The sequence below is a fragment of the Homo sapiens genome, chromosome 22 (genome assembly GCF_000001405.40).
Source record: "Homo sapiens chromosome 22, GRCh38.p14 Primary Assembly".
In the NCBI taxonomy this organism is placed as follows: domain Eukaryota; kingdom Metazoa; phylum Chordata; class Mammalia; order Primates; family Hominidae; genus Homo; species Homo sapiens.
In genome coordinates this window covers 49102376-49127420 of record NC_000022.11, presented here as the reverse complement: position 1 = coordinate 49127420, position 25045 = coordinate 49102376, and the positions used below count along the sequence as shown (strand labels likewise).

General features: G+C 49.2%; 1 annotated feature.

The window, feature by feature from the left end:
• Positions 19669-19838: an enhancer, noted in NCBI's record as "experimental_63615 CRE fragment used in MPRA reporter constructs". NCBI's record gives its function as "activates a minimal promoter by MPRAs in K562 erythroleukemia cells, with activity observed for the introgressed 22:49503392 variant allele {active_cell/tissue: K562}" and the evidence as "EXISTENCE:reporter gene assay evidence [ECO:0000049][PMID:34662402]".

The window sequence follows — 25045 nt, the reverse complement described above, 5'->3', positions numbered from 1 at the left end:
GTGAGGCCTCCCTAGCCGCATGGAACTGCGAGTCCATTAAATCCCTTTTTCTTTTTGTTTTATTTTATTATTTTTTATGGTACTTTAAGTCCTGGGATACATGTGCAGAATGTGCAGGTTTGTTACATAGGCATACACGTGCCATGGTGGTTTGCTGTACCCATCAGCCCATCATCTAGGTTTTAAGCCCCACATGTATTACGTATTTCTCCTAATGCTCTCCCTCCCCTTGTCCCCCAACAGGCCCCAGTGTGTGATGTTCCCCCCTCCCTGTGTCCCTATGTTCTCACTGTTCAACTCCCACTTATGAGTGAGAACATGTGAAACCTCTTTTTGTTTATAAATTACCCAGTCTCGGGTATGTCTTTTTCAGCAGTGTGAAAACAGACTGATACAATAGTAGAATAGCATTAATGTCAAAGAAGACACTTCCATTATGAAAAAGGTATAAAAGGGACAATCTCATCCATAAATACAGACACACAGATCTCAGTAATAGCAAAAGGATTGCAACAACATGGAGAAAGAAATCTCTCTTGCCACCGAGTTGAGTTTACCCCAGGAATGAGAGGGCGGCTTAACAATAGAAATCAGTTTATGTATTTCTCCATAGTAAGAAATTAAAGGAGCAAAATCATATGATTTCCCGAATGGATTCACTTAAATTACCTGATAACATTCAACATTTGAATAATAAAAGATATAATATTTACAATAAGGTCAAAAAACGTAAAGTGCAAGTAATCAATCAAAGACAAAGTATAGAACACATTTTTGTGGAAAATCACAAAAGTCTCAGACAAAATTAAATAAGGCCTGACATTTTGTAGAGATGTAGTCTATGTGTGAACTGCACATTTATTTTTATTTTATTTTATTTTATTTTGAGACGGAGTCTTGCTCTGTTTCCCAGGCTGGAGTGCAATGGCATGATCTCAGCTCACTGCAACCTCTGCCTCCTGGCTTCAAGCAACTCTCCTGCCTCAGCTTCCCGAGTAGCTGGGATTACAGGTGCCCACCACCACGTCTGCCTGATTGTGTTTTTAGTAGAGATGGGGTTTCACTGTGTTGGCCAGGCTGGTCTCAAACCCCTGACCTCAGGTGATCTGACTGCCTCAGCCTCCCAAAATGCTGGGATTACAGGCGTGAGCCGCTGCGCCTGGCCATATATATATATATATATATATATATATATATATATATATATATAATTTTTTTAAAGACATTGACTCCCTTCAAGATAAATGAGAAAATCAGTAAAATTCTAATAGAGGGAAATTAATTCAATTCTAGTAAAAATCCCATCTTTTCTTTTTCTTTGTTTTTCTCTCCCTCTCTCCTTTCCTCCTTTCCTTTGGTCCTTTTTTTCTTCTTCCTTTATTTTTAATTTTTCTTTTTTGATAAGAAGCATTGAACTAACTACTGCATTTAAAATGGGACAGAAGTCAGGCGTGGTAGCTCACGCCTGTAATCCCAGCACTTTGGGAGGCCAAGGCAGCTGGATCACCTCAGGTCAGGAGTTCGAGACCAGCCTGGCCAACATGGAGAAACCCTGTCTCTACTAAAAATACAAAAATTAGCTGGGAGTGGTGGTGCATGCCTGTAATCCCAGCTACTCAGAAGGCTGAGGCAGGAGAATCGCTTGAACCTGGGAGGCAGAGGCTGCAGTGAGCCAAGATCGCACCACTGCACTCCAGCCTAGGTGACAGAGGGAGACTCTGTCTCAAAAATAAAATATAAAATAAAATAAAATAAAATAAAATAAAATAAAATAAAATAGGACAGATTGAGACTGGAAACAGAATTGTGTACCATAGCTTAATAAAAGAAAGAAGTAGAATTGTCACTTAGATGTTTGAATAAATGGTGCTGGTTATTCTCAGTGTAAAAAATGAAATTTGATCCCAATTTCCACCATATACAAAAATTAATTCAACTTGGATTAAAGGCTAAGATGTGAAAGATAAAGTCACAAGTTTTGTAAGTCAATACAGGAAAATATTTTAATGCCTGTGGGATGGGGAGAGATTTCTTAAACAAGACACAAGAAGTACAAACTAGGACACAATACACTGATGATTTTAACTACATTAAAATTGAGAAACACTGTTCTGCAACCGTGGGGAAACTGAAAAAAGTATGTTGCAAAGGGGGACAGAATAATTGCAAAACACATGATTGACAGTAGATTTGTACCAAGAAAGTGCAAACATTCCACATACCAGAAAGAAAAAGAAAAGAAAGTTCAGTACAAAAATGTCATTCGGGCATTAGCTGGTGCAACTGGACACATTCGTGTCCTATAATCCAGCATTTCCACCTGTTAGTCTATACTCTAGAAGATCTCGTATGTGCAACTAGAGACATGTACAAGAATGTACACAGCAGTGTGTTTCATGGGACCAAAAAAGCTGAAATCAATGTCCACACCCAGCAACAGCAGAAAGAATAAGTTGTTTCCCGGAAACACGGCGCTTGCTCTGACATGAAGCAGCCTCAAGGTCTCTCTGACTTTCCTCCCGACTCCCAGGATCTTCTGTCTCTCCTGAAGCACAGGATGAGGCTGTTGCCTGAAGTTCCCTTATCTACCTACAAACAGGACCTGCCAAAGGGAAACACAACAGCCTGAGTGTTCATGACCTTGACTCATGTTACAGAAAGACTGACTTTTGTCAACACACCTGATCTGGGGCCCAACAGACTTTGTTCAAGACCGGTGTATGCTCTCCAAGCCCATTGAATCTCCCTAAAAATCATCTATCTTCCCTCTCTCTTTCATCTATGGAGGAAGGTGCATCACCTTCTGAGTAATCATTCTCCTGCAATTCCCCTGTGCTATGGACATTACAATAAATTTCGTAGGTGTTTTTTCCTACTACTCTGCATTTTGCCAGTTGATTTTCAGGGTCCTTTCAGAGGACAAAGGATAAGTTTTCCCTTGGTCTCTACAGAGTCATGTATAGCACCTCCATAAAATATAATATTGAAGTAAAATTTAATGTATTTTAGCTACAAATATCAAACATTGATGATTCTCAAAAATGTGTTAGTGTTATTTGGGGGAAAAACAAGTCATAGAAAAATACACTCAGTATGATTTCATTTATATGAAGTTCAAAACAAGCCAAATGTAAATAATATATTATTTAGGGATAGGAGTTACAGGTGTCAAACAATTTTGTGTAAAAAAAAAAAAAGGAGATGATTAACCCAAAATTTAGGATTGTTTTTCTTTCAGGAAAAAAGCAGCAGCTTGTGACCATGGAGGGAAAAAGTGCTGGGAAAAGCCCTCATCTGTGGCCAGGGGAGGCACGGGGATGGAATGGATGGCACTGAAGGGTGGACAGGATGCCTGGTACTGTAGTATGGACGGGATGGATGGCACTGGGGTGTGTATGGGATGGATGGAACTGGGGTGTGGACGGGATGGATTGCACTGGGGTGTGGATGGGATGGATGGAACTGGAGTGTGGACGAGATGGATGGAACTGGAGTGTGGACGAGAAGGATGGAACTGGAATGTGGACGAAGGGATGGAACTGGAGTGTGGGCGGGATGGATTGCACTGGGGTGTGGACGGAATGGACAGAACTGGATTGTGGAAGGGATGGATTGCACTGGAGTGTGGACGGAATGGATGGAACTGGAGTGCAGATGGGATGGATGGAACTGGAATGTGGACGAATGGATGGAACTGGAGTGTGGACAGGATGGATTGCACTGGGGTGTGGATGGGATGGATGGAACTGGGGTGTGGACGGGATGGATGGAACTGGAGTGTGGACAGCATGGATGGCACTGGAGCCTTACCCTGGATGATGAGGAACCTGAGCAGATACAGAGGGTGAACGGATATTGAAGGTGGGGGATACACTCATTGAGCAGGGCTCTTGCTAAACCTGGATTTCGTAAAGAAATGCCCACATAGGCCTAGGAGAAGGTTCAGGAGCATGGCTAACAATGGGGGAAGCAAAGAATTTTCATCACTGCACCTGCTGGTGGATGTTGAGCCATGGTCACTGAAAGGAAGAAGGCACTGAAAATACCATGGGCAGCCAGATGGAGGCTGGTTTTTGGAGTGGAAGCTGGCAGGTGACACTTACCTTGACTGAGAGTGTCTGGAAGACAAAGCCTGGGTGTTACCGCCTCATCCCCTGTCCCTGTGCCAAGCTGAGCCTGACCACAGTTGCCTTTGGTGAATATTATTTAATAAACCCTCTTGAGAAAGTCCTCTCTGAACTCAGTCCACTTTCCTTCCATTTGCCCCCACAAATAGGCGATTCTGCCTGCTTACTTCACGGCCTCCATGTATCCATTCAGGATGTAGAGCTTAGTACTTCCAGAAAAGCAATTTCAGAATAGATCAGGATAAAGATGACAGCCTTGACACTTGGCCTGAGATGATAAAAGAGAAGACGACGAGAGAAAGCAAGAGTGGAAACCTCTAGAAATTGAATTAATGGTTCTGTTTGCAGCATTGGTCAGGTTTTTCAAAAAAAAAATGATGACATATTTCAAACATGTAAAAGAGTACCAAGAAAAAAATAACAAGTACTTCCATGTCCACCACTACATTCAACATGCCAACATTTAGTCATATTTGTATCCAAATCTTCCTAGGAAAGCTCTTTTTAAAGAGTGAGTAACTATGGCAAAGTTGGCTTGCATTCACCAACTCTTGAGTTTTATACTGTGCTACATGTCTATAACAATTTATAGTATATTATAGTGCTTTACATTTCAAAAATCAGTCATAACCTCCTCGGAACTTTGTTTTTTCATTCAACATTATAGGTGTTTATTTAATCATTTATTTTAATAGTGTATGAGTCTGTTCTTGCACTGCTATAAAGAAAGACCTGAGGCTAGGTAATTTATAAAGAAAAGAGGTTTAATGAACTCACAGTTCCACAGGCTGTACAGGGAGCATGGCTGGGGAGCCTCAGGAAACTTACAATCATGGCAGAAGGCAAAGGGGAAGCAAGCACATCTTCACATGGTGACAGGAGAGAGAGACAGAGAGAGAGAGAGAGAGAGAGACAAGGGGGAAGTGCTACACACTTTCAAACAACCAGACCTTGTGAGAACTCACTCGCTATCATAAGAACAGCAAGGGAGAAGTCAGCCCCTATGATCCAGTCAACTTCCACCCAGTCCCTCCTCCAACCCTGCGGATTACAATTCTAGATGAGATTTGGGTGGGGACACTGAGCCAAATCCTATGAAATAGTGATACACAGCATCCCATTATATCAGTATACAGTCTTTAATTTACCCATTCTCTTAGGTTTTCTTTCTCAGTTTTTAAATCACCATCATTTTTGTAAACAGGAATTTTTTTGTAAACAAGAATAAATATTCTTGCATGTGTGTCCTTAGGAGAGTGTTTTAGGTTAGTAGCCTTTAAGTATCTTGTTTTTCTTTTCCCAAAAGAGCTTTGGAAAGTGATGAAACCTCACAGTTTCCAAGGTGAAATCCAAACTTGTCATGTATTTCATAATTTCCTACAAGGAGTATCTAACAAAAATATGTAAGACGTTTACACTAAACAGTACAAAATACTGTGAAAGAAATTAAGAAAGATTTAAGTAAATGGAGAAGTATGACATGTTCATGGATTGGAAGATCAAATGTTGGGAAAACGCAACTTCTTCCCTTCATTAGTCCATGGCTCATAGTCAACTCATCCCTGTCAGAATTCAGGCAACATGTCTGTGTGGAAACTGAGCAAACTCATTCTAAAACTTATGTGGATATGCAAAAGCCAAGAGCAGCCAAAGCAACATAGAAGAGGCAGGTGTTTGAAGGCTCTGTGACCACCTCCTGGTCTGGTGATTTGCTGGAAGGACTAAGCCAGCTCAACATAAATCATGGTAAAGGTTGACTCCAGTAACAGGAGTCAGGAACTGGACAGGAGTCCAGTAACAGGAACTGCAGGAAAATGACAGGCTTGGGCGGAAGCTAGAGAGACCCTGGGCAGGTTTCTCAGCCCTCCCTCAGCCAGGGCCACGCTTTTCCCCGCAGCTGAGAACCACAGGCGCCCGTGTGAGATGCCTCCATCCCAGGAAACCCCTGCAGCAGTGGGACCCAGAGGTCTTCAAGGGCCCCATCATGAAACTTCAAGGCTGGCTGTGGTTCCAACCCCAGCCCAGGCCCTGTGCACAACATAAGTCTTAATGTTTATATTAGATAGTCTGACAGCCGAGTCCATCTTGACTGAGAACATTCCAGAATTTTAATTCTTGGAGTATGAATGAGAGTTATCAGTAAGGCTGTGAAGATTAACCCAGAACTAAGTAAAGCAGATTGGCTATTGTAAAAGGAAAATCTTGGGGCCCCAAAATTACTATGCTAAGGGAAAAGTCAAGCTGAGAACTTGACAATCCTGCCTCCCATTCTATTCCAAGCATCCTTCTGCTCACTGAGATAGATGCATATTCTGATTGCCTCCTCGGGAGAGGCTTAGTAGAAACTCAAAAGAATGCAGCCATCTGTCTGTCACCTACCTGTGACGTGGAAGCCCCCTCTCTGCGTGGAGTTGTCCCCACCTTTCTGGGTGGGACCAATGCACTTCTTGCATATATTGACTGATGTCTCATGTCTCCTTAAAATGTATAAAACCAAGCTGTGCCCTGACCACCTTGGGCATGTGTTGTCAGGACCTCCTGAGTCTGTGTCATGGGCACGCACCCTCCACCTTGGCAAAATAAACTTTCTAAATTAACTGAGACTTGTCTCAGATATTCTGAATCCACACTGTTCTAACCACCTTCTCTGATATCCAGGCCTACAAGGAAAGTGTGGTATGGAAGAAAGGGCGTGCTGAGGTAAGGCAGGAAGGACATGTTGATGCCCTAATAGGTGGAAAGCTTGGAGCAGGTCCACGTCTGTAGGATCAGACCCATGCCCAGGGTGACAATGCATTGCAACAGGGAATCTGGATGCAGAGGCAATTGACTATTCATACTGAAAGTAAGCTCTCTCACACCATGAACAAAAATCACTTCCAGAAGAAATGCAGAAGAAAAAACATGTCCATGAATTGAACTAGGTGACGATTCCTTACAGGGAATACAAAGGCTTGAGCCACATATGAGAAGATATTGAACTATGTAAAGACAAATAACGCCTGTGCATCACCTACAAATAAAAGGATACCCACAGAGCAAAGATGTCTGTGATACAAATATCCAACAAAGGCCTCCTAACCAGGATCTATATTTTTTAAATCAACATCTTACACATTGGTAAATGCCACGTAACCTGATAGACAAATGGGGCAAGGACTTGAACAGGTGCTTTCTGAAGGAGGGAACCCAAATGTCCGTAGACACATGGACAGGGGTTCATCAGTCACCAGGAAAGACAAAGGACACCCAATACGACACCCCTGCACAGGCATCAAAGTGACAAACACACAAAGTGGCTGTTGTGCCTCCTCGCCCTCCTTCCTGGAATGTTTCTCCAGCAGCTCTACAGAGCCCAGGCAGTTCCTCTCACGCTGTGCACACCAGGGAGCTGCCTGGCACTGAAGCCAGTGTGATTCCTGGAAGAAACCCACGCCTTCTCTCCAGTGATTGCTCCAGGAATCTGCTCATGGGACAGATTAGGACACGCTCCCTGTCAGACCTAGATTCTCTGAGCAACACAGGACGGTGTGTCGCAACCCGCGGGGCTTGGTTCTCAGGACAGGCTCCTTCCCCTGGGAAAGCAGACGCAGTTCCTGAGCGTGGCCCCCGCAGGCAGATGCTCTCCAGGACTAAGGAATTCCAGGGCTGCAGCCCAGGCCTCCAGGGAGCAAAGAGACACACAGCAATTTCCAGTGCACCGCAGGCCGCTGAAAGCGGGCTTGGCTGAGTTTCTCATTTCATCTCTTGTTTAAAATTGTCAATGACAAAAGATAGACTGCTTTTCACTCTCCTTTCCTGCTGAGCACAATGAAAACCCCTGGGCATTTTAACAAAGCAAACTTGGGAAGACCCCAAAAGGTGGAAAGGGAAAGGCAGCCTGGCTGAGTGTCTCAGGAGCTGGACTGACTGGGTGGGAGCCCCCTGTGGCTTCTTCCTGTCTCAGGTAACCAGGCTGGGAGCCTAAGAAGCCAGCAGCCCAGAGAGCAGCCCACCGCACACCTAGGCCATAAGACACAGCCCACTGCACACCTAGGCCGTAAGACACAGCCCACCGCACACCTAGGCCGTAAGACACAGCCCACCGCACACCTAGGCCATAAGACACAGCCCACCGCACACCTAGGCTGTATGACACACCCCACTGTACACCTAGGCCGTATGACACAGCCCACCACACACCTAGGCCGTATGACACACCCCACCGCACACCTAGGCCATAAGACACGGCCCACCGCACACCTAGGCCGTAAGACACGGCCCACCCCACACCTAGGCCGTATGACACGGCCCACCGCACACCTAGGCCGTATGACATGGCCCACCGCACACCTAGGCCCTAAGACATGGCCCACTGCACACCTAGGCCCTAAGACATGGCCCACTGCATACCTAGGCAGATGTGCTTCTGTGAGCCCCAGGAAATGGTGGGGAGCGAGCATCTTTGGCTCCGTAGAAGAAGCCCTTCCCAATGTTCAGTGTGTGCACACCTGGGGCCGCAGCTGCAAAGGTGAGCACCTCCCACGGGACACACAGAAGCTCAGCAAAGCCTCCAGTTGGGGGCTCTGTGTGGGGAAAGGACTTGAGACTTCTGAGTCCGATTCAAACCGAAGGTGCCCGTCCTCTGTGCCAGGGATCAAGGGAATTCCAGCTCAAATCACCCACAAGAGATCATACCATAGGCCCACGAACGAGGCTGGTTTTGCTCAGATCCCTGCAGTAATTGTCCTTTGTTCTTCTGGGGCATCTCACGGGCTGTGCACAACTCCAGCGCCAGGGTCCCCCAGCTTAGGCAATATTTGAGAAACTAATTGAAAAACCTACGTACACGGCATCTCCGTGAATTTTCATTTTCACCCCTGCTTATCGGAGGTGAGGACTCGGGGCGCAGAGCCTCTCTGCATTTATTACGGAGTCTCGGCGAGGAGGACGGTTTCAAGGTCAGGGAGAGCCCGATCTCCAATGATTGCCGCTGCCAACCAATCTCCGGGCCCCACATTCCCAATCGGGAGCTCTCTCAAGCATGAACTATCAAATTATTGTCAATTCCGGCTGATTTTCTAACAGACAATGGAAAATCTTCGGTGGACTTCATATGTGATTTCTACCCGCTTTCTTACTTATTCAACAGTAACAGTGAAAGGTCACGGGCCTGGCATATGCAGTTAGCTCTTTGCTGTTTATTGAGTTTTTATGCTTGGTTTAAAACTGAATTACTGGGGCAGAAAGTGAAAATGCATTTATGCCCTTCAGGAAAATCTCTACATAAAAATTAAATTATATTATGAAACGCAGAGAGAGCCATGTGGGACGCTCAGAAGAATTGATTAGGAGATCAAAGCGCCTGGTGAGGCTGTGTGATAATTACTCGGCCTTGTCACCCTGTGTGTGTTTTTGTTATTTGGAGTCTTCACCGGGGGCCTCCTCTTTCCCATCTTCCCGGGGATGCATTCCCTGTGGGTGCCCAGAGGGGCTGGCGACCTGCTGGAGGGGTTGGCACACAGGGCATTGTTAATTATGGGATCAGACCAGGCGAGGCAGCCAAAGAGACTCCAGGGAGAGCCCCTGGCCCCATCAGGCAGCTGTTTTTCCATTTACCGACCAGAGCCCTGCCCAGGAGCTCAGAAAAATACAACACCTAGGCCCTGCCCCTGGAGACTCCAATTCCAAAGGTCTGGGGAGGGCGCTTGGGTCAGGCAGTGCCCAGAGGTAATGCTGGTGATGTCAGACGGACACTGAAGAACCCTGGGGACTGGGCAGGCTCTTAGGGACATGTGGCTGCAGTGCCAGGGCCCAGGTAGGCTGCACAACCCCCTGAGGCCAGCATCCAGGAACAGGTAAATAAGGTCAGAAGTCATTTTATCATAAGCTCATGTTTCAGAGTGGAATACAGACCTCACACGGCCTTGAAGGTAAGAGGAAGTGAGCTTTCTCCCTGAGGATGTCTGGGCAGGGATAAGGTGAAGGCCTCCAGCCCCAGCCCCTGCCTCAGCCCCGACCCCTGCCCCTGCCCCTGGCTTTTCCCCAGCCCCGACCCCTGCCCCTGCCCCAACACCTGCTCCAGCCCCAGCCCCTGCCCCTACCCCTGGCCCTGCCCCTGCCCCTGCCCCTGCCCCTGCCCCTGCCTGCACAAGGTCATTAGCTTCCAAAGGGCCTCTCAGATGCGAACACCCTACAGGCCTGCAGGCATTTTCAAAAAGCTTTTCTTAGGCTTCCCCACTTCAGCACATACTTGGGAACCCTCTGTCTGTAGGGACCCTGAGCATCTCCACCAACCCAGAAGGAAGGAGCTGCCTTCCTCTGTGGATGCCGGGGGCCGAATGCTCGGACCTGCCACCTCCACTTGTGGTTTCCGTGGCCCGAGCGCAGAGCCTGAATGATCCAGGGGACATGGGCCCATATTTCCACGCATCGTCACTGGCCTCCTGCTCCACAAGGCACGGAGCTGGCGGGCTCCTCCCCCTCCCAGCACATGGAGGGGCCCCTGGTCCCCTTCTCAAGTCCTCTTCCACAGTCCCATGAGCAAAGTGGGCAAGAGCCCCTGTCCGTAGCTGTGGGGGCAAGAAATAGCATCTGGAGGGCCTAGCCCCCGTGTGTCGGCCCCGGGGACCACAGGAAATAGCATCTCCAGGGCCTAGCCCCCCTGTGCCGGCCCCAGCGACCATGAGAGGAGTGGCTGACGCTCAGAACCTTCTTCTTCCCTGGGTTGTTTGGTCTTAAGTTTTGTGTCCCTATAACTTTAATCTGTGTTGCGTAAATCTAAATAGGACGCCAAACATCATGCCAGGGCCATGGGTGCTTAAGACACCTGAATTTAAAACGTGCATCGAGGTAAGGTCGTTTACAGAAACACATTAGCAAGGGGCAGTCCCGCGGCAGGCAGTGAGAGGAGCGAGAGGAGGCCGGTGACCCTCGCGTTCAGCAGCCATGCTTTGGGAAACAGGATTTGCCCAGCCTTCTCATTTTATGAATAAAACCAGGCCCGAGAGGAGCGGCCTGAGGCATTGGTCCTGTCCTCCTGCAGACAACAGTTTGGAGACACAGCTACTTCCCGTGTCCTGACCGGGCCGCCCGCAGCCTACACAGCAGGGCACGCACACGGGAGGGGAAATTTGCTGAGTCCACGCACATATGTGCCGTGCCGCCTCCAGTTGCTCTTCTGAAATGTGAATGACTGTCAGCGATCTAACACCACTGGCCAGGCCGCCCACTGAGACACCATCTATCGGGCTGGGCCTTGGCCTCCTTCCTTGGCCAGTGAGACCCAACACCAGAGAGAAACCAAATTGCAGGACTTTGCTTTTCCCTCTAAGAAAAGCTGCTGTTTCCCAGTAACAGGATGACTCTAAAGGTGAAGCTCTTTCTTAGCGGACAGAAGACGTTGCTCACTCCCTCGGGGACAGCTGTACAACAGGATTCCACCACCCACGAAGCACGTGAACTCCGTGAGGCTGGCTCGCTCCTGGGGCCTTCGATCGAGGGGGAATATCTCACCCCTTGCCTGGCATATTAACCGATCTCCGCCTGGCCTTTCCGAGGAGTTTATGACTTGGAAACGACTGTGGTGTACTGACTTTGCATTCATGAAATTAAAGCAGGGCTGTCTGGCTAGGGCTGAGAATTAGTTATGCAGAAGGGTTTATTCCAAGCTTCTTAGAGGTTTACAGGTGACTAACTCCTCACCTGTAACTGGCAGACTTGTTGCAGCAAAAGACAGGTATTAACACCTTGGACAGATTCGGATTTAAATCCTGGCATAGCAAGGATTCACCAGACATTCAAGACAACACCAGTACAGACGGGAAAACAGGTATTCACGTGTGCAGAGTTCTGGCTCATACGCTGCCCCAGAGCTAGGATGATCATCAGTGTTGACAACGATGACAGTGATGACAGTGATGGTGATGACATCATTTCTGCAGGTCCCGATGTCACTGGTTGGAAGATGTACGCATTTGCCCATGGCTTCTTGCCCATTAAAGCATTATTAAAGCTGGCCTTGCCTTTCTTGTTGAAACTCAGACACACTCAACTGTGATTTACACTCATGTATTTTGATTTTTTTTTTCCTGAGATGGAGTCTCTCACTGTCACCCAGACTTGAGTGCAATGGCGCGATCTCGGCTCACTGCAACCTCCACCTCCCAGGTTCAAGTGATTCTCCTGCCTCAGCCTCTGGAGTAGCTGGGATTACAGGGGCCCACCACCACGCCTGGCGAATTTTTTTTTTTTGTATTTTTATTAGAGACGGGGTTTCACTACGTTGGCCAGGCTGGTCTTGAACTCCTGACCTCGTGATCCACCCGCCTCAGCCTCCCAAAGTGTTGGGATTACAGGCATGAGCCACTGCGCCTGGCCTACACTCATTTATTTTAAGTAAAAATTAGCATGATTTGATAGCAAAGTCAGACCATGTCAGTGCATAAAAGGAAAGAACTGAGGGCTGATATCTCTCATGAACTTCGATGTGAAAATCTTCAACAAAACATTAGCAAATTGAATCCAACGACATATAGAATTACGCACCGAGGCTAAGCAAAATTTCTTCCAGGTGTGCAAGGGTGGTCCAATGTTCAAAAATAAATCAGTGGGGCCACCACATCAGCAAACTGAAGAGACATCCCGCAAGGACACCCACCGATGCAGAGAAAGCACCCGATAAGATGCAACAGCCGCGTTTATGATGAAAGCTTTTGTCAGGTTAGGAATACAGGGGAATTGACTTGACAAAGTGCACCTGTAAAAATCCTACAGCGAACACAGTGAGAAACATGGGAACTTCTCGCTTCCCCCCGAGACTGGGAAGGAGGCGAGCTGGTTTTTCCTCACCACGTTATCCTAGAAGCTGTGACAAGTGCAACAAGGTAAGAAAAATAAATAAAATTTAAAAACCGCGGAATTACAGGAAGAGTCTCAAATGAAATGCTGCTACCTGGCCTTTCCCTAATGCTCCCATCCATCGCTGGGTCCCCTGCTGTGAGTTCCAGGGGGCAGCTTGTGGGGCAGTGGCTCCTGACTGGAGAATGAGGAGGTTTAGGGATAAAGGGAGTCCTAAATGTGGCACACTCAATCTGCTGAAATCACCACTGAAGGCTAATTTTTCATCCTGGGGTTTGGCGTCAGCCTGCAGGTGTGAGCATCGAGCTGCAGCCTGTCCTAGAGTGGTCCCTGTCCCTGGAGTCCCGCCTGCATCTCAGGGTGTGTGCCAGGGCCTTGGGCATTTCCCTGGATGGAGCCTGGGGCGGGGTTGGCCAGACAAAGCTGGTGGGACAATCTGGTGTCTTTATCTAGTGGACAGCAGGCTACTGCCGCGCTGGCTTCACCTTGAAGGGGCCGTGGGACGCAGACACATGGAGAAGAATAGCATCTGGACAGACACGTGGGTCAGGAGCGGACAGAGAGTAAGGGCCGGTCACTGCCAGTTGTCAGGAAGAACAGAGTCAGCCCTGTCGCAAACTCTTCAGCAGGTGTGTGTGTGTGTGTGCACTGGTGTGTGTGTGAGCGTGAGTGTGTGGGCTGTAGCCTGTGTTTGCATGTGAGAGCATGTGTGGGTGTGATTGCGTGTGAATGTGCGTTAGCATATGTGAGCGCTGTGAGGTACATGTGTGTTCCCTGTGTGTGTGTGTGAGTGTGTGGAGCAAGCATGTGTAAAGTATACACACAGCAGCAGGAGGGTGGCCACCCAGCACCCTTCTCTGCTGAAGGGACCCCGTGCCAGGTGGCTGCTGAGACATCACCAGTGCCAGCCCTAGTGTGAGCCACTCGCCCCAGGCCTGGGTAGCTGAGGCCCCTGTGGTTCTGTGGAGGGCAGGGACAGGGCAAATGTGACCACAGAGGCAAATGTGACCAGTCCAGCCCAGGAGACCTACAGCTGGGGCCAGAGAGACACAGACCCCAACCACTGGGCCCAGTCCATTTGGGCAGAAGCCTGGTGACAGGCGGATTCCCCCAGCGCACGCACAAAGCACGGGGCTGGCTTGAAGGCCCATGTGGCCCAACACCATTTTGGACCAGTTCTGTCCCTCTTCTAGAACATTCTGCTGGTTCCCTGGACCCAGAAATTTCATACCCAAACATCTTCCCTGAGGATGTCCCACCTTCCCACTGCCACCTCCACCTAGATGTTCACCAGGAGGCGTAAGCAGGAGTGCCCAAACCAGCCCCTGACCCCACAGAACCACAACACCTGCAGCACTACGTCTAGAATAACACCTGTGTTCTTCCTCTCCAGGGACCAGAACCTTCCAGCCATCTCACCTCCTCTTCTGGCCACACCACACTCTCATCAGTGCTTGCAGACCTGCCTGTGAAATGCACCCAGGGTCTGACCCTTCTCCCCGCCCCACTGCCCTGCCCTGGCTCAAGCCCCCTCGGGGCTCCGGACTGTATGGCTGCAGTGGGTTCCACCCTGCTGCGGCCCCTTCAGAAACCAGCCACACCCTCCTCTGCTCAGCACCCTCCCAGGCCTCCGTTTCTCACTGCTCCCAGGGCGGAGCAGAAGCGCCAGCCCTCCCCTTGACCCTGCTCAGCCCTGCTTGCTGGAGCTCCCTCACCTTGGTCCTCTCAGTCCTCCTCCTCCTCCTTCCTTCCCAATCCCCCTCCCCAGCTGAGCAGCCTTCTCAGTGTCCCCGGCCCCACCCGGCACTCCCTCCTTCAAGGTTCGAGCTCCCTTCTCATCCTCTTCAGTTTTAGGCCAAATGCACCTTTTCAATCGCTCCCCCCAACCCCATCAAAGACTCCAGCTCAGCCTGCTCTGTTCTCCTGAGAACCTTATGACCATCAGCTGTTTGGTGTGTCACTTTATCAAATGCTTGTTGGACATATGTCCTGTCTGTTTCCACCAGAATCCAAGCTCCTTAAGGGCAGGGATTGTTGTGGGTTTGTTCACGACCGGATCCTCAGCGCCTGGAAAGGTGATGGGCGCGGAGCGCACACTCGTGACACGTGCCGGGTGAGCAAACATTTGCAAGCGCGACTCGCCATCCTCCTCCCGTGGCCGGGTATAGTCATGTGCCTTGACGTAAATAACTCAATCCCCAGCACCTGAAGAGCATTTTCTTCTCTTTAAAGATTTCAGTGTCTTCCATATTTCTAAAACAAAAACAAAAACAACCTCCATCTAAAAAGTTTGCTATGAAGCTGAGGGCAGCGGCGCATACCTGTAGTCCCAGCTACTCAGGAGCCTGGGGCGGGAGGGTCTCTGGAGTCCAGGATTTGGAGGCTGTAGCGCGCTGTGATCACACCTGGGAACAGCCACTGCACTCCAGCCTGGACAACAGTAAGCCTCTGTTTCTAGAAAGAGAAAAATGTTGTTGTTAGTGTCTTTTTTCTTTTTTTTTTTTGAGATGGAGTCTTGCGTCCCTGTGTCACCCAGGCCGGAGTGCGATGGTGCGATCTTGGCTCACTGCAACCTCTGCCTCCTGGGTTCAAGCAATTCTCCTGCCCCAGCCTTCTGAGTAGCTGGGATTACAGTCACCCACCATCACGCCTAGCAAATTTTTGTATTTTTGTAGAGATGGGGTTTCACCATGTTGGCCAGGATGGTCTCGAACTCCTGACCTCAGGTGATCTGCCCACCTTGGTTTCCCAAAGTGCTGGAATTACAGGTGTGAGCCACTGTGGCTGGCCTGTTGTTAGTCTCTTTTGAGAGCTACCTCGGACCAGGGTGACAAGAATGGCTCTGGACTGGATAATTTCTCTCTGGAGGTGTTTGGTGTTTATTCCCTTTGACTGTGGCAGCGGACTTTAATTATGCCAGCATTAACCCTCGTGTCAAGAAGGGAAGAATGAAGAAGCACTCAGGCACCATCCTCCCCAACCTTTCAAAAGGCAGTTAATCTCTGCGTGAGCCGACACTTCCAAACAAGCCTGAAATTAGTGGACATCAATTGTGCCGAAAACAAGGGGAGATTGTTTGCGACTCGGGCCTGTTTGCTTTAAAATTCACTTTGGTTCCCTGTCAAACACGCTGCGCGGGGTGTGAGCCAGGCCTGAGTCTTTGAAGGACTGGCTGTCGTGCCGGGTTCCAAACCATTGACTTTGTCAGCTAGTGACTTGCAGAGGACCTGAACGCACGGGGCCCCTGGTGTCTTTCTTACCCTCTCTGAGACATAACAGGATGCCAAAATCGCCAGGTTCAAAATGGTGCTTCCAATTATTTTCTCTTCTATAGTCTTCGATGTGCTATTGAAGTCTATCTGCTCATCGATCCCCTCTCTCCACTTTCAACATTTCCTAATTGCCTCATCAAAACTCCTCGACGATTCATTTTATGATTTATTTAGTCACCAGGCTCTGCTTGTGTAGGTCTGATGCATGAGGGATACCTGCGCGCCTGGGCACTGCGGAGGGGAGAGGGAGGAAGGAATAAGAGAGATAAATGCAGCCTGAACTGAGTCCAGAGACCAGTGAGGAAGGAGCAACACCCACGTGTAAAACTCAGAGTTGTAAAAGGTGAGTCACCCGGACCTGGGCTCGAACCAAGGCCTGTAGCGGACATGTGGGGGATCCTACAGTCTCCCTCCCCACTGGGAGCCCAACAAGCTGTGTAGGTGAAATTGGCCGTGTTCATCCAGGTATCACAGAGCCCTGGTTGGCCCAAATCTGTGTAACTGGGTTTGGGTGAAGAACTATTACATAGCCCTGGGAGTTTCTGGGAGAGAGAAAGATAGCAGACGAAACTTTATGAAAGTTGAGCTGCTGGATCAAACCAGTCCTGAAGTTGTTTATCCTGCCTGCATATTTTACTTATTGAAGATAATACATTCCCAGATTGTCAGGTTTTTTTCAAGATTTTAGTAAATTGAAATCAGGAGCCCTAACAGGTACACTGATAATCCTGGGAGAATTGAAGAGTCAGGAGCCCTAACAGGTACACTGATAATCCTGGGAGACTTGAGGAGTCAGGAGCGCTAACAGGTACACTGATAATCCCAGGAGACTTGAGGAGTCAGGAGCCCTAACAGGTACACTGATAATCCCAGGAGAGTCGTTTTCCCTCTTTGAACCACAGCAGTCCCATCTTAAACTTGGAAATGAAACCTGCTTTGCAGCTTTGGTACAACAGTTACGGAGGAGGTGGTGTGAATTTCTCAGTGACATCTGGTGCACTGCACTTGATGAATGGAACCAACTCTAGTGATTAAAGGTTCCCTTTACCCCAGTGATGAGTTCCTGAAATGTTTCACATGTCATGGTTTCTATGTAGTTTTTAAAAATTGGTCAGTCAAATTTTGTCTGCACCACCTCAAGGGAACTAATCTTTATTAAAATGTACTTAAAGGGAGGGTACTATACAGATTACACACAGGTGTGGGCACACAAGCATCTTGTTCCACACAGTCTGTTTTTATTTACTTACTTGTTCTGCATTGCCCTCCATCCTCGCCACCCAGTGTCAGGAAACCATGTTACTGTTTTAACACACATCTTTAGTTTATTTAAGGGCTCTTGCTAAAATATGTGTTGTTGTTTTCCGTATGTGTATTTTATATTTGTAATAATCAGCTTATCTAAAGCTCATGCTTGCAACACTGCCTTTGAGATCTGTGTGCTCCATTAAGTCCTGTAAGACCTTTCCCCTGCAAGATATCTGAGGAAGTGCCTGTCCGCTCTGCAGGGAGAGGTGGTCCAGGTGCTCCGGGGCTACAGGGGTGGGGAAGGGATGCCACAGCTCCCAGGACCACAGAGTCCATTCCTGCCAGCAGTCCAAGTGTCCTCCCACCTCTGTCCTCAGCACCACCCACATCACCTAGCTCTATGGCACCTGCCAGGTGAGTGGGACCCTGGAGAAGTCCCTGGAGACATCACTCCCATTTCTCCCGTAATGAACATGCATCTGGTGTTGGCTTCCTCTCCCTTACAAAGCCTTTTTACATCGCTTCCCCCCTTTCTCCATTTAAGCTCCTATTTTTATAAGTTTTCTTTTTCTTTCTCTAGCTATGGATTGTGTATTTATTCCAGATTTTGCAAATAACCTCCCCCAACTTGCCACCTGCCTGGCGGATTTGTCCACAGTGACCTTGGCTGAACCACCTCATCCTTCACTGTCCAGCAAACGGACTCAGAGCACAGCACAGGGCTCCGGGGCGCTCGGACGTGATGGGATGGGTCCCTCACCTAGCAGGTTCTAAAAGCCTGGGTGAATGGATCAAACAGGCCTTGGCTGAGCCCACCCACTGCAGCCGATCCCCATGGGGGACCCGCTCTGCCGCTGGAGCCCCGATGGCGCTGAAAGCCTGAAACGCTGGTGTTGCCCTGACTGGCTCTCCCGTCCAGCTCCTGGCCGGCCTCTGACGCTGACCTGAGTCTGGGAGCACAGTGTTCCCACCCAGGCATCCCGACAGCATGTCCAGCTTGAGTTCGCCCTGCCCAGGTGTCCTGTCTACCTCTGCTGCATTCCCTCCATCTCTGCCCAGTGGTAACAGCGCCACGCCTTGCCATGCCTGGGCAGTGCCTGAGGGCAAAGGAAAAATATGATCTCTGCCTGAAAATCCCAACAGATCCTCCAACAGACCCACATGGACAGCACAGAGGCACAGGGGCAGCTGCAGATAACCACTGTACAGACTCTCCAGAAGCAAAGGGAGGTCCTTTGGTGGGAGGCACAGGTGCAAGTGAGAGAAAGGAGGCCACGCCAGCACCACCTGCAATGCGGAAAGACAGAGGCTGGCAGTGGGTGCGAGAGAAGGACTGTGGGGGCCGGGTTGGGGTCCCAGCCAGCGTGAGGGTGACGTGGCCCTCGCCCCCCTCCATCTGCACACAGGTGATCTGCATGGAGAGGCGCTGAAGCTGAATGAGACAATTCGGTTCTTCATCCTCCTTAGGCCTGTGAGAGACTGGATCTGGGGAGTGAGGATGGTGAGTCTTGGCTGAGCCGGTGCTGACGCCTCGCCTGTCAGTCAAAGGAGGTTGCGCAGCCCCCAGCTCTGCTGAGGGAGGAGGAGCCATTGCCCATGGAGGCGACTGGCCTCGTTCCACGCCCCTCGTGTGAGCTCCAGGAATCAGGTGCGTCATACTTGCTTGTGGGTGAGGGTTGCAGGGCAGGACCCTCACACCCTGCAATTGAGGCAACAGCTCTCGTACACGGGCTCCGTGGGATGACTGGAAAGAGGCCCACAGGCAGAGGCACAAGGAACTGTGCAGGGCCCCGAGGTGGCTTCCACCAACACCTGCCAAGGCAGGGCTGGCACCACTTGGGTGCTGCATTGCACAGGGCATCCTAGGCTCTGGGCATAGGGGCTGCAGCAGGGACAGAGCAGCCAAGACCCTTACCAGGGGAGCTTCATCCCAATGGAGAAAGGATGTAAGATGCGCATCCCTGCAGCATGTGTCCAGTGGCGACCCCTGCATTGTGGAAAAGAATAGAGCCCAGGACAAGCCGAGTGAGGATGCAGGCAGCCTCCAGCATGAGCAGAGGCCTGGCAGGTGCGGGAGGAAGCTGTGTCAGAGGAAGACCGAGGCAGAAGGGCACAGAACCCAGAGAGGCCATGGATTTTATTCTGGGACCTATGAGGCACCCTCGGGGGTGGGGGACAGGGAGCTGGGACCTCACTTGTGTTTTAGAACAATCCCTCTCCCCTGTTGGGGAGGGAGGACTCCTCGAGGCAGGCAGGCTGGGGTGGGTGCACCTGGCCTGTCCAGGAGAGGGACATCGGGGGCTGCAATGAGGGGTAGAGGCTGAACTTGACAGGAATTACTGGAGGAGTGCGGGTGAGGTGGGAAAGAGAGAAAGTGGAGCAAAAATTCGGAGACTGAGCCTGGACAGGGGGCAGGGCTTGGAGGATGGAGGTGGCTTTAACCCACGGGGTTTAGGGCAGAATTCAGACCGGATAAACAGTGTTCCAGAGAGTCAAGCTGCATTTCTTTGTCTAAAAAATCAAGATTTGTTTGTTGAAGGATGCACGTGTGTCTACACAGTTAAGATACTTCAAGGCTGTTACGCTCAGGATCATTAGAAGCAGAAAGGGCATGTGTAATAACATTCTGAATTGAGAAAAAAAAACAGCTGGTGAGGTATCCAAGCAATGACAGTCACTCCAGGAAATGTTCTTGTTGGATCTAATTCTTGCACCTAGGAGTTCTCAGTGACCTGGTTTCTTGGGAAGATGGATGAATTTTCTTATCTTAAACCCTGGGCCAGCCCAGACAGACGTTCCCTAACATGCCCAGCACTAAACAGGGCCTCGCCACCCTGACTCCATGGAAAGGCTGCTTGAGAAAGAAGGCTCAGTGGCTGTTTCCAGGCTGAACAGGAGCCCAGTGTCTCCAGGAGGGTCCCAAGGGCTCCCTCGTTCTGTAGGGGATTCCCCTCTTCAGGGCCCAGGGCTGCCATCCTGGAACCTCTGCAGCTGCCTGACCCGTCCCAGAGGCATGTGAGGGAGAAAGGGTGGGAGGCAGGCCCAGGGCAAAGCTACACAGGCCACCTGCGGAGGGGAGAGGCCTGATCTACTGGGACCCCTGTAGCGCCAAGTTTGGAACTTGCCCCTTTAAGAAGAAAATGACTGTCACAGAAGACTTCAGGAGGATCCTGAAAATCTTCCAGGGGCTCGAGCTCTCCCAGCCCAGCAGGATCCCTCATGGGACCCATCAGCTCTAGCACCTCCTGCCCCAGCCCACCATCCTCCCACCAGGGACTGCAGCTGGCTCAAGGGCTTGGCCCTTTGGCCATGGACAAACCTGGCCAAATACCGTGGGTCTGCCGGGTTGCCTCCCAAGTCATGCCAAGCCCCAGGGTGAGGTGTGTTGACCTACTGATGTAGTTCAGCTCTCAGGCTTTAACCCCTTGGCATTTGGCAAACAAAGAGCCGGACAGAAAGCCTGGGCTTCCTCCAGAGGTCCATGGTAAGAGGAACACAGTTTGGTTCTGAGAATGTAGCCCCAGGGAGCTGGCCTGAAGAGCCCGGCCATGCAGGCCCTGGCAGAGTTAATGAGCATCCGCCACGGCTCCCTGCCTGTGCTGAAGGCTCCTCACTTCTCAGCAGTAGCAGCAGATGCCTGGGAAGGAATGTCAGGGTCCAGAGAGCTTGATGGCCTAGACTCAGGCTTACAGCGACTCAGGGCTCAGAGCTCGGCGCCTTCCAAGGTCCCTGTCCTGCACTCAGGACATTAAACAGAGGCCGCTCCTCTCTGGAAATCAGGGAAGAAGAGTGTCTGGGTAGGCTGACTGCTGGTGCTGGGAGGAAGGAGGGCAATCAGCAGCCCCTGCTCAGGACGGAAGCTCTACCAACCTGGTTCATTGCCCGACAGTAGATGCAAAAGCTCAGAAAGTGCCAGGTGCAGGTGTGTAAATATCAGGGACATTGTTCAGTGCAATTTAACAAGCCTTAATTAAGTGTCTCTCTGCAGACATCCCACTAATCACCGGGTTAAAAAGATGACCAAGGCCCTGCCCCACCATTAAGGTGAGCAGAATCTGTCATCAGCCTTCTCATCATGGTGAGAGTTAATATGTATTTACAATGAGCTTTCTCTAAACTTAAGAGATGCCTGACTGATGCTCCTAGGGGAGGCAGATGAGGGAAGCTTACTGGGGACCAAGTTTCCTGCCTCCCTTCCCCACTGTGCTCTTTGTACATGGGCATGGGAGGTGTCACCTGTACTTCCCTCTCCCACCCCAGGCTGCAAGGGCAGAGGAGGACGTGAGCTCAGTGGTCTCCTGAACTTGTGCCTTCAAGGTGAGCAATGCCTGATGACAGCTCCCCTCCCCTTCCTTCGACCATTCCCCTTTCCTGTGGTCCCAACAGTTCCTCCCAGGGTGCTGCACCGAGTCCTGTGCCCAGAAAGCCGAAGACCGGTGGCTTCGTGCAAAGGTTAAACTGTGAGACCACCATGTCCTGCTGTCAGGACCCCCACCCCTTGGGAGTTTACTTAGGACCCCAGAGCTTCTTAAGGAGATATTTATCCTCTTTGATATTTTAATAAAGAATGTCTTTTGTTACTCAGTGTTTCTTTAACATTATTTCCTCAACAATCTGCTGATTTTTCACTAGGGTCCCACACTTTCCCAACGACTTGCTGTATTGACTCCTCAGATTTTTCAATTGAGTAACTGATGAATTAATAATCCCAAATAATAGATGGCATTACGGAGCGTTAATGCACCTCTATGGCATAAATGAAAGGCAGTGTCTACTCAGGGAAGGGGAGAGGTCTCCAAGCTTATTAATTTAGCAGTCTAAATGCGAGTCAGAATTTCAGCCTGAATAAATATCAGGAGTTTGTTTAGGTCCCTGAGGTGTTTGAAAAAGTCCGCTCCCGAAAGGCTGGCTTCAAAGCTTTTAACCTCAGCTTAATTACCATCCGGCTCACTACCATTTGACTTCCATTAATCCAGATTTGTAGCAATTTTCCTGCTGTCATTCATCCAGGTTAAGTGAGTTGTATTTCTTAATAATTGTGTCCTAGTGATATCAATGCAGATAAAAGAGATATGATGTTAGCTGGGACCCATTCTGTTATAACCAGGCTTTCCCCAGACACTCCTTCTTCTGGGTCCCTGGACATCATTCCAACATTGTATCACTTTAAAAACAGAGCTTTGCGTAGAACTAAATAACCACACACACTCACACTCACATGCACACACCCACACTCAATCACACACATGAACACACACACATTCACACACATATACACACAGTCACGCACTCACACAGGCATACAGACATGCACACACACACACGCACACACACTCAGGCACATGCACGCACATCCATGCACACACACACACACATACACACACTCATCCACGCTTTCACAAGTGCAAGCGAATCTGGGGAAATCTGGTTAAGATCAGTGGATTTTGTCAATACTGACATCCTGGATGTGAGGCTGCTATATTACGACCACTGAGGGAAAGAGGGGGAGCCCCTGGGATCTATCTGCATTACTGATCACAAATACCTGTTGATCTACTATTACCTCAAAATGAAACATTTAATTAAAAAATGTTGGTCCTCACACCCAGAACCGTGATCCTGATGAACCCATTGCCTTATAAATTTCCCTTGGAATTCTTCCAAAAGTAATTTCAATAGGTCCTTTGAAGTATAAAGATACATATATATATATACACATATACATATATTTTATGTTTATATTTATATTTTACATAAAATATATATAGAAAGATTTGCATTGTAGCTTTTACTCATTTATTTCTGCATGACGTTGTACAAAAGTAACCAAACAAAAGTCTCTGTTCTTTGAGACATTCCAGGTGACTGGAAAATACTTATTGAAGTTTTTTTCTGAACAGTATGTATTCCATATGTAAAAGGAATTCCTGGATCTGTACTCAAATTCAAGTTGGCATTTCTGTTCATTTGCATTAGAAGAGGGGTTGGCAAACTCTAGCTCTCAGACCACATCCAGCCATGGCTGCCTTGTAAGGGCTGTTTTCCTGGGACACAGCCCCACACATCTGCTTCTGTATGGCTCTGGTTGCCTTGAGCGACAGAGGAGGAGGAGTTGCTATGGAAACCCTCATGGACTGAGCAGCAGAACGTATTTACCATCTGACTCTTCTTAGAAAAAGTCTGTGGATCCCTGCATTAGAACATCAACTCCTACCAGCCTTCTGAAAACGCCCTTTTATAGATTTCCTAATGTTCCGAATAGACGAGACTTTAGCACCTTAGGTTTACCCCCTACCAGTGCAATACAGGATGTGGGGAGGGGCTGAGCTCCCTCACTGCTCATCTGCTCAACATCTGCTGCCGATGCCACCTGGAGCAGGTGCAGAGCCCGGCGCTCACTGCCCCGAGCCTGCTCCATCTCGTCCTCTGAACCTCCGAGCGTCTGGGCTTCTACACCTGCCTTGGAGGCCTACGTCTCAATCAGGGACTTAGAGGGTGCATGACAGCACAGAAAGGAAGAAGGGAGCAAAACAAAACAACGCTTTCCACTCAAAATGTGGTTTTGTCTCCAAATTCTAAAATACACAAAGAAAACTAATTTTGAGAAAGACGATAAACAAAGAATAAAAAATCAACCCATTAATAGACTGTAGCTGAACGTTTTTGACAGATATTTCAAATAAGTGCATTGGCGATGTTTAAAGAGATGAATGAATGCATAACTTCCACTTAAAAATGACAAACGAAATAGGAATTTTATGAAAAAGTTTCAATTAGGAAATGTTAGAAAAGGAATATAGACAGGAATGTGAAGTTCCACAGGTCAGATAAGCATAGTCCCATATGGTCCCACAAGTAAAATAGTGAATCGAGAGATTCAATGGATGCTTTCCCCTAAGAGGGCATTGAAATAGTAAAGAAAATAGTGCTGAGAGAACTGGAGGAGAAGATCATGGGAGGGATGACGGAGAAGCGGTGGCAGAGCCAATGACTGAGAGCTGTGTAGTAGAGACAGGTTTTCTCCATGTTGGTCAGGCTGGTCTCACACTCTCGACCTCAGGTGATCTGCCTGCCTCGGCCTCCCAAAGTGCTGGGATTACAGGCATGAGCCACCGCGCCTGGCTGTGACCTCATTTTTACTTGGCCTCCTCGGTAAAGATTCTATCTTTGAATAAGGTCACGTTCTGCGGTGCTGGGGGTTATTACTCCAACATTTGAATTTGAGGGAACATAACTCAACCATGACGGTGACCAAGACCATAATCCCAGGTGGGAGGAGTCCCGGGTGGGAGGAGTCCCGGGTGGGAGGAGTCCGTGCCCACAGGCGCTGGCACTATTTGCCGACACGGACAGCATGCCAGCCCAGCGTCCTGGAGCACTAAGGTGCCGGTTAGCGGGCTTATCTCCCGGCCTTGGAGATCCAGACGCCTTCATCGAGGGCCTCACGCTCCTCTGAGTGCCCTTTCTATCCCAGACGCCTTCATCGAGGGCCTCACGCTCCTCTGAGTGCCCTTTCTATCCCAGACCCCTTCATCGAGGGCCTCATGCTCCTCTGAGTGC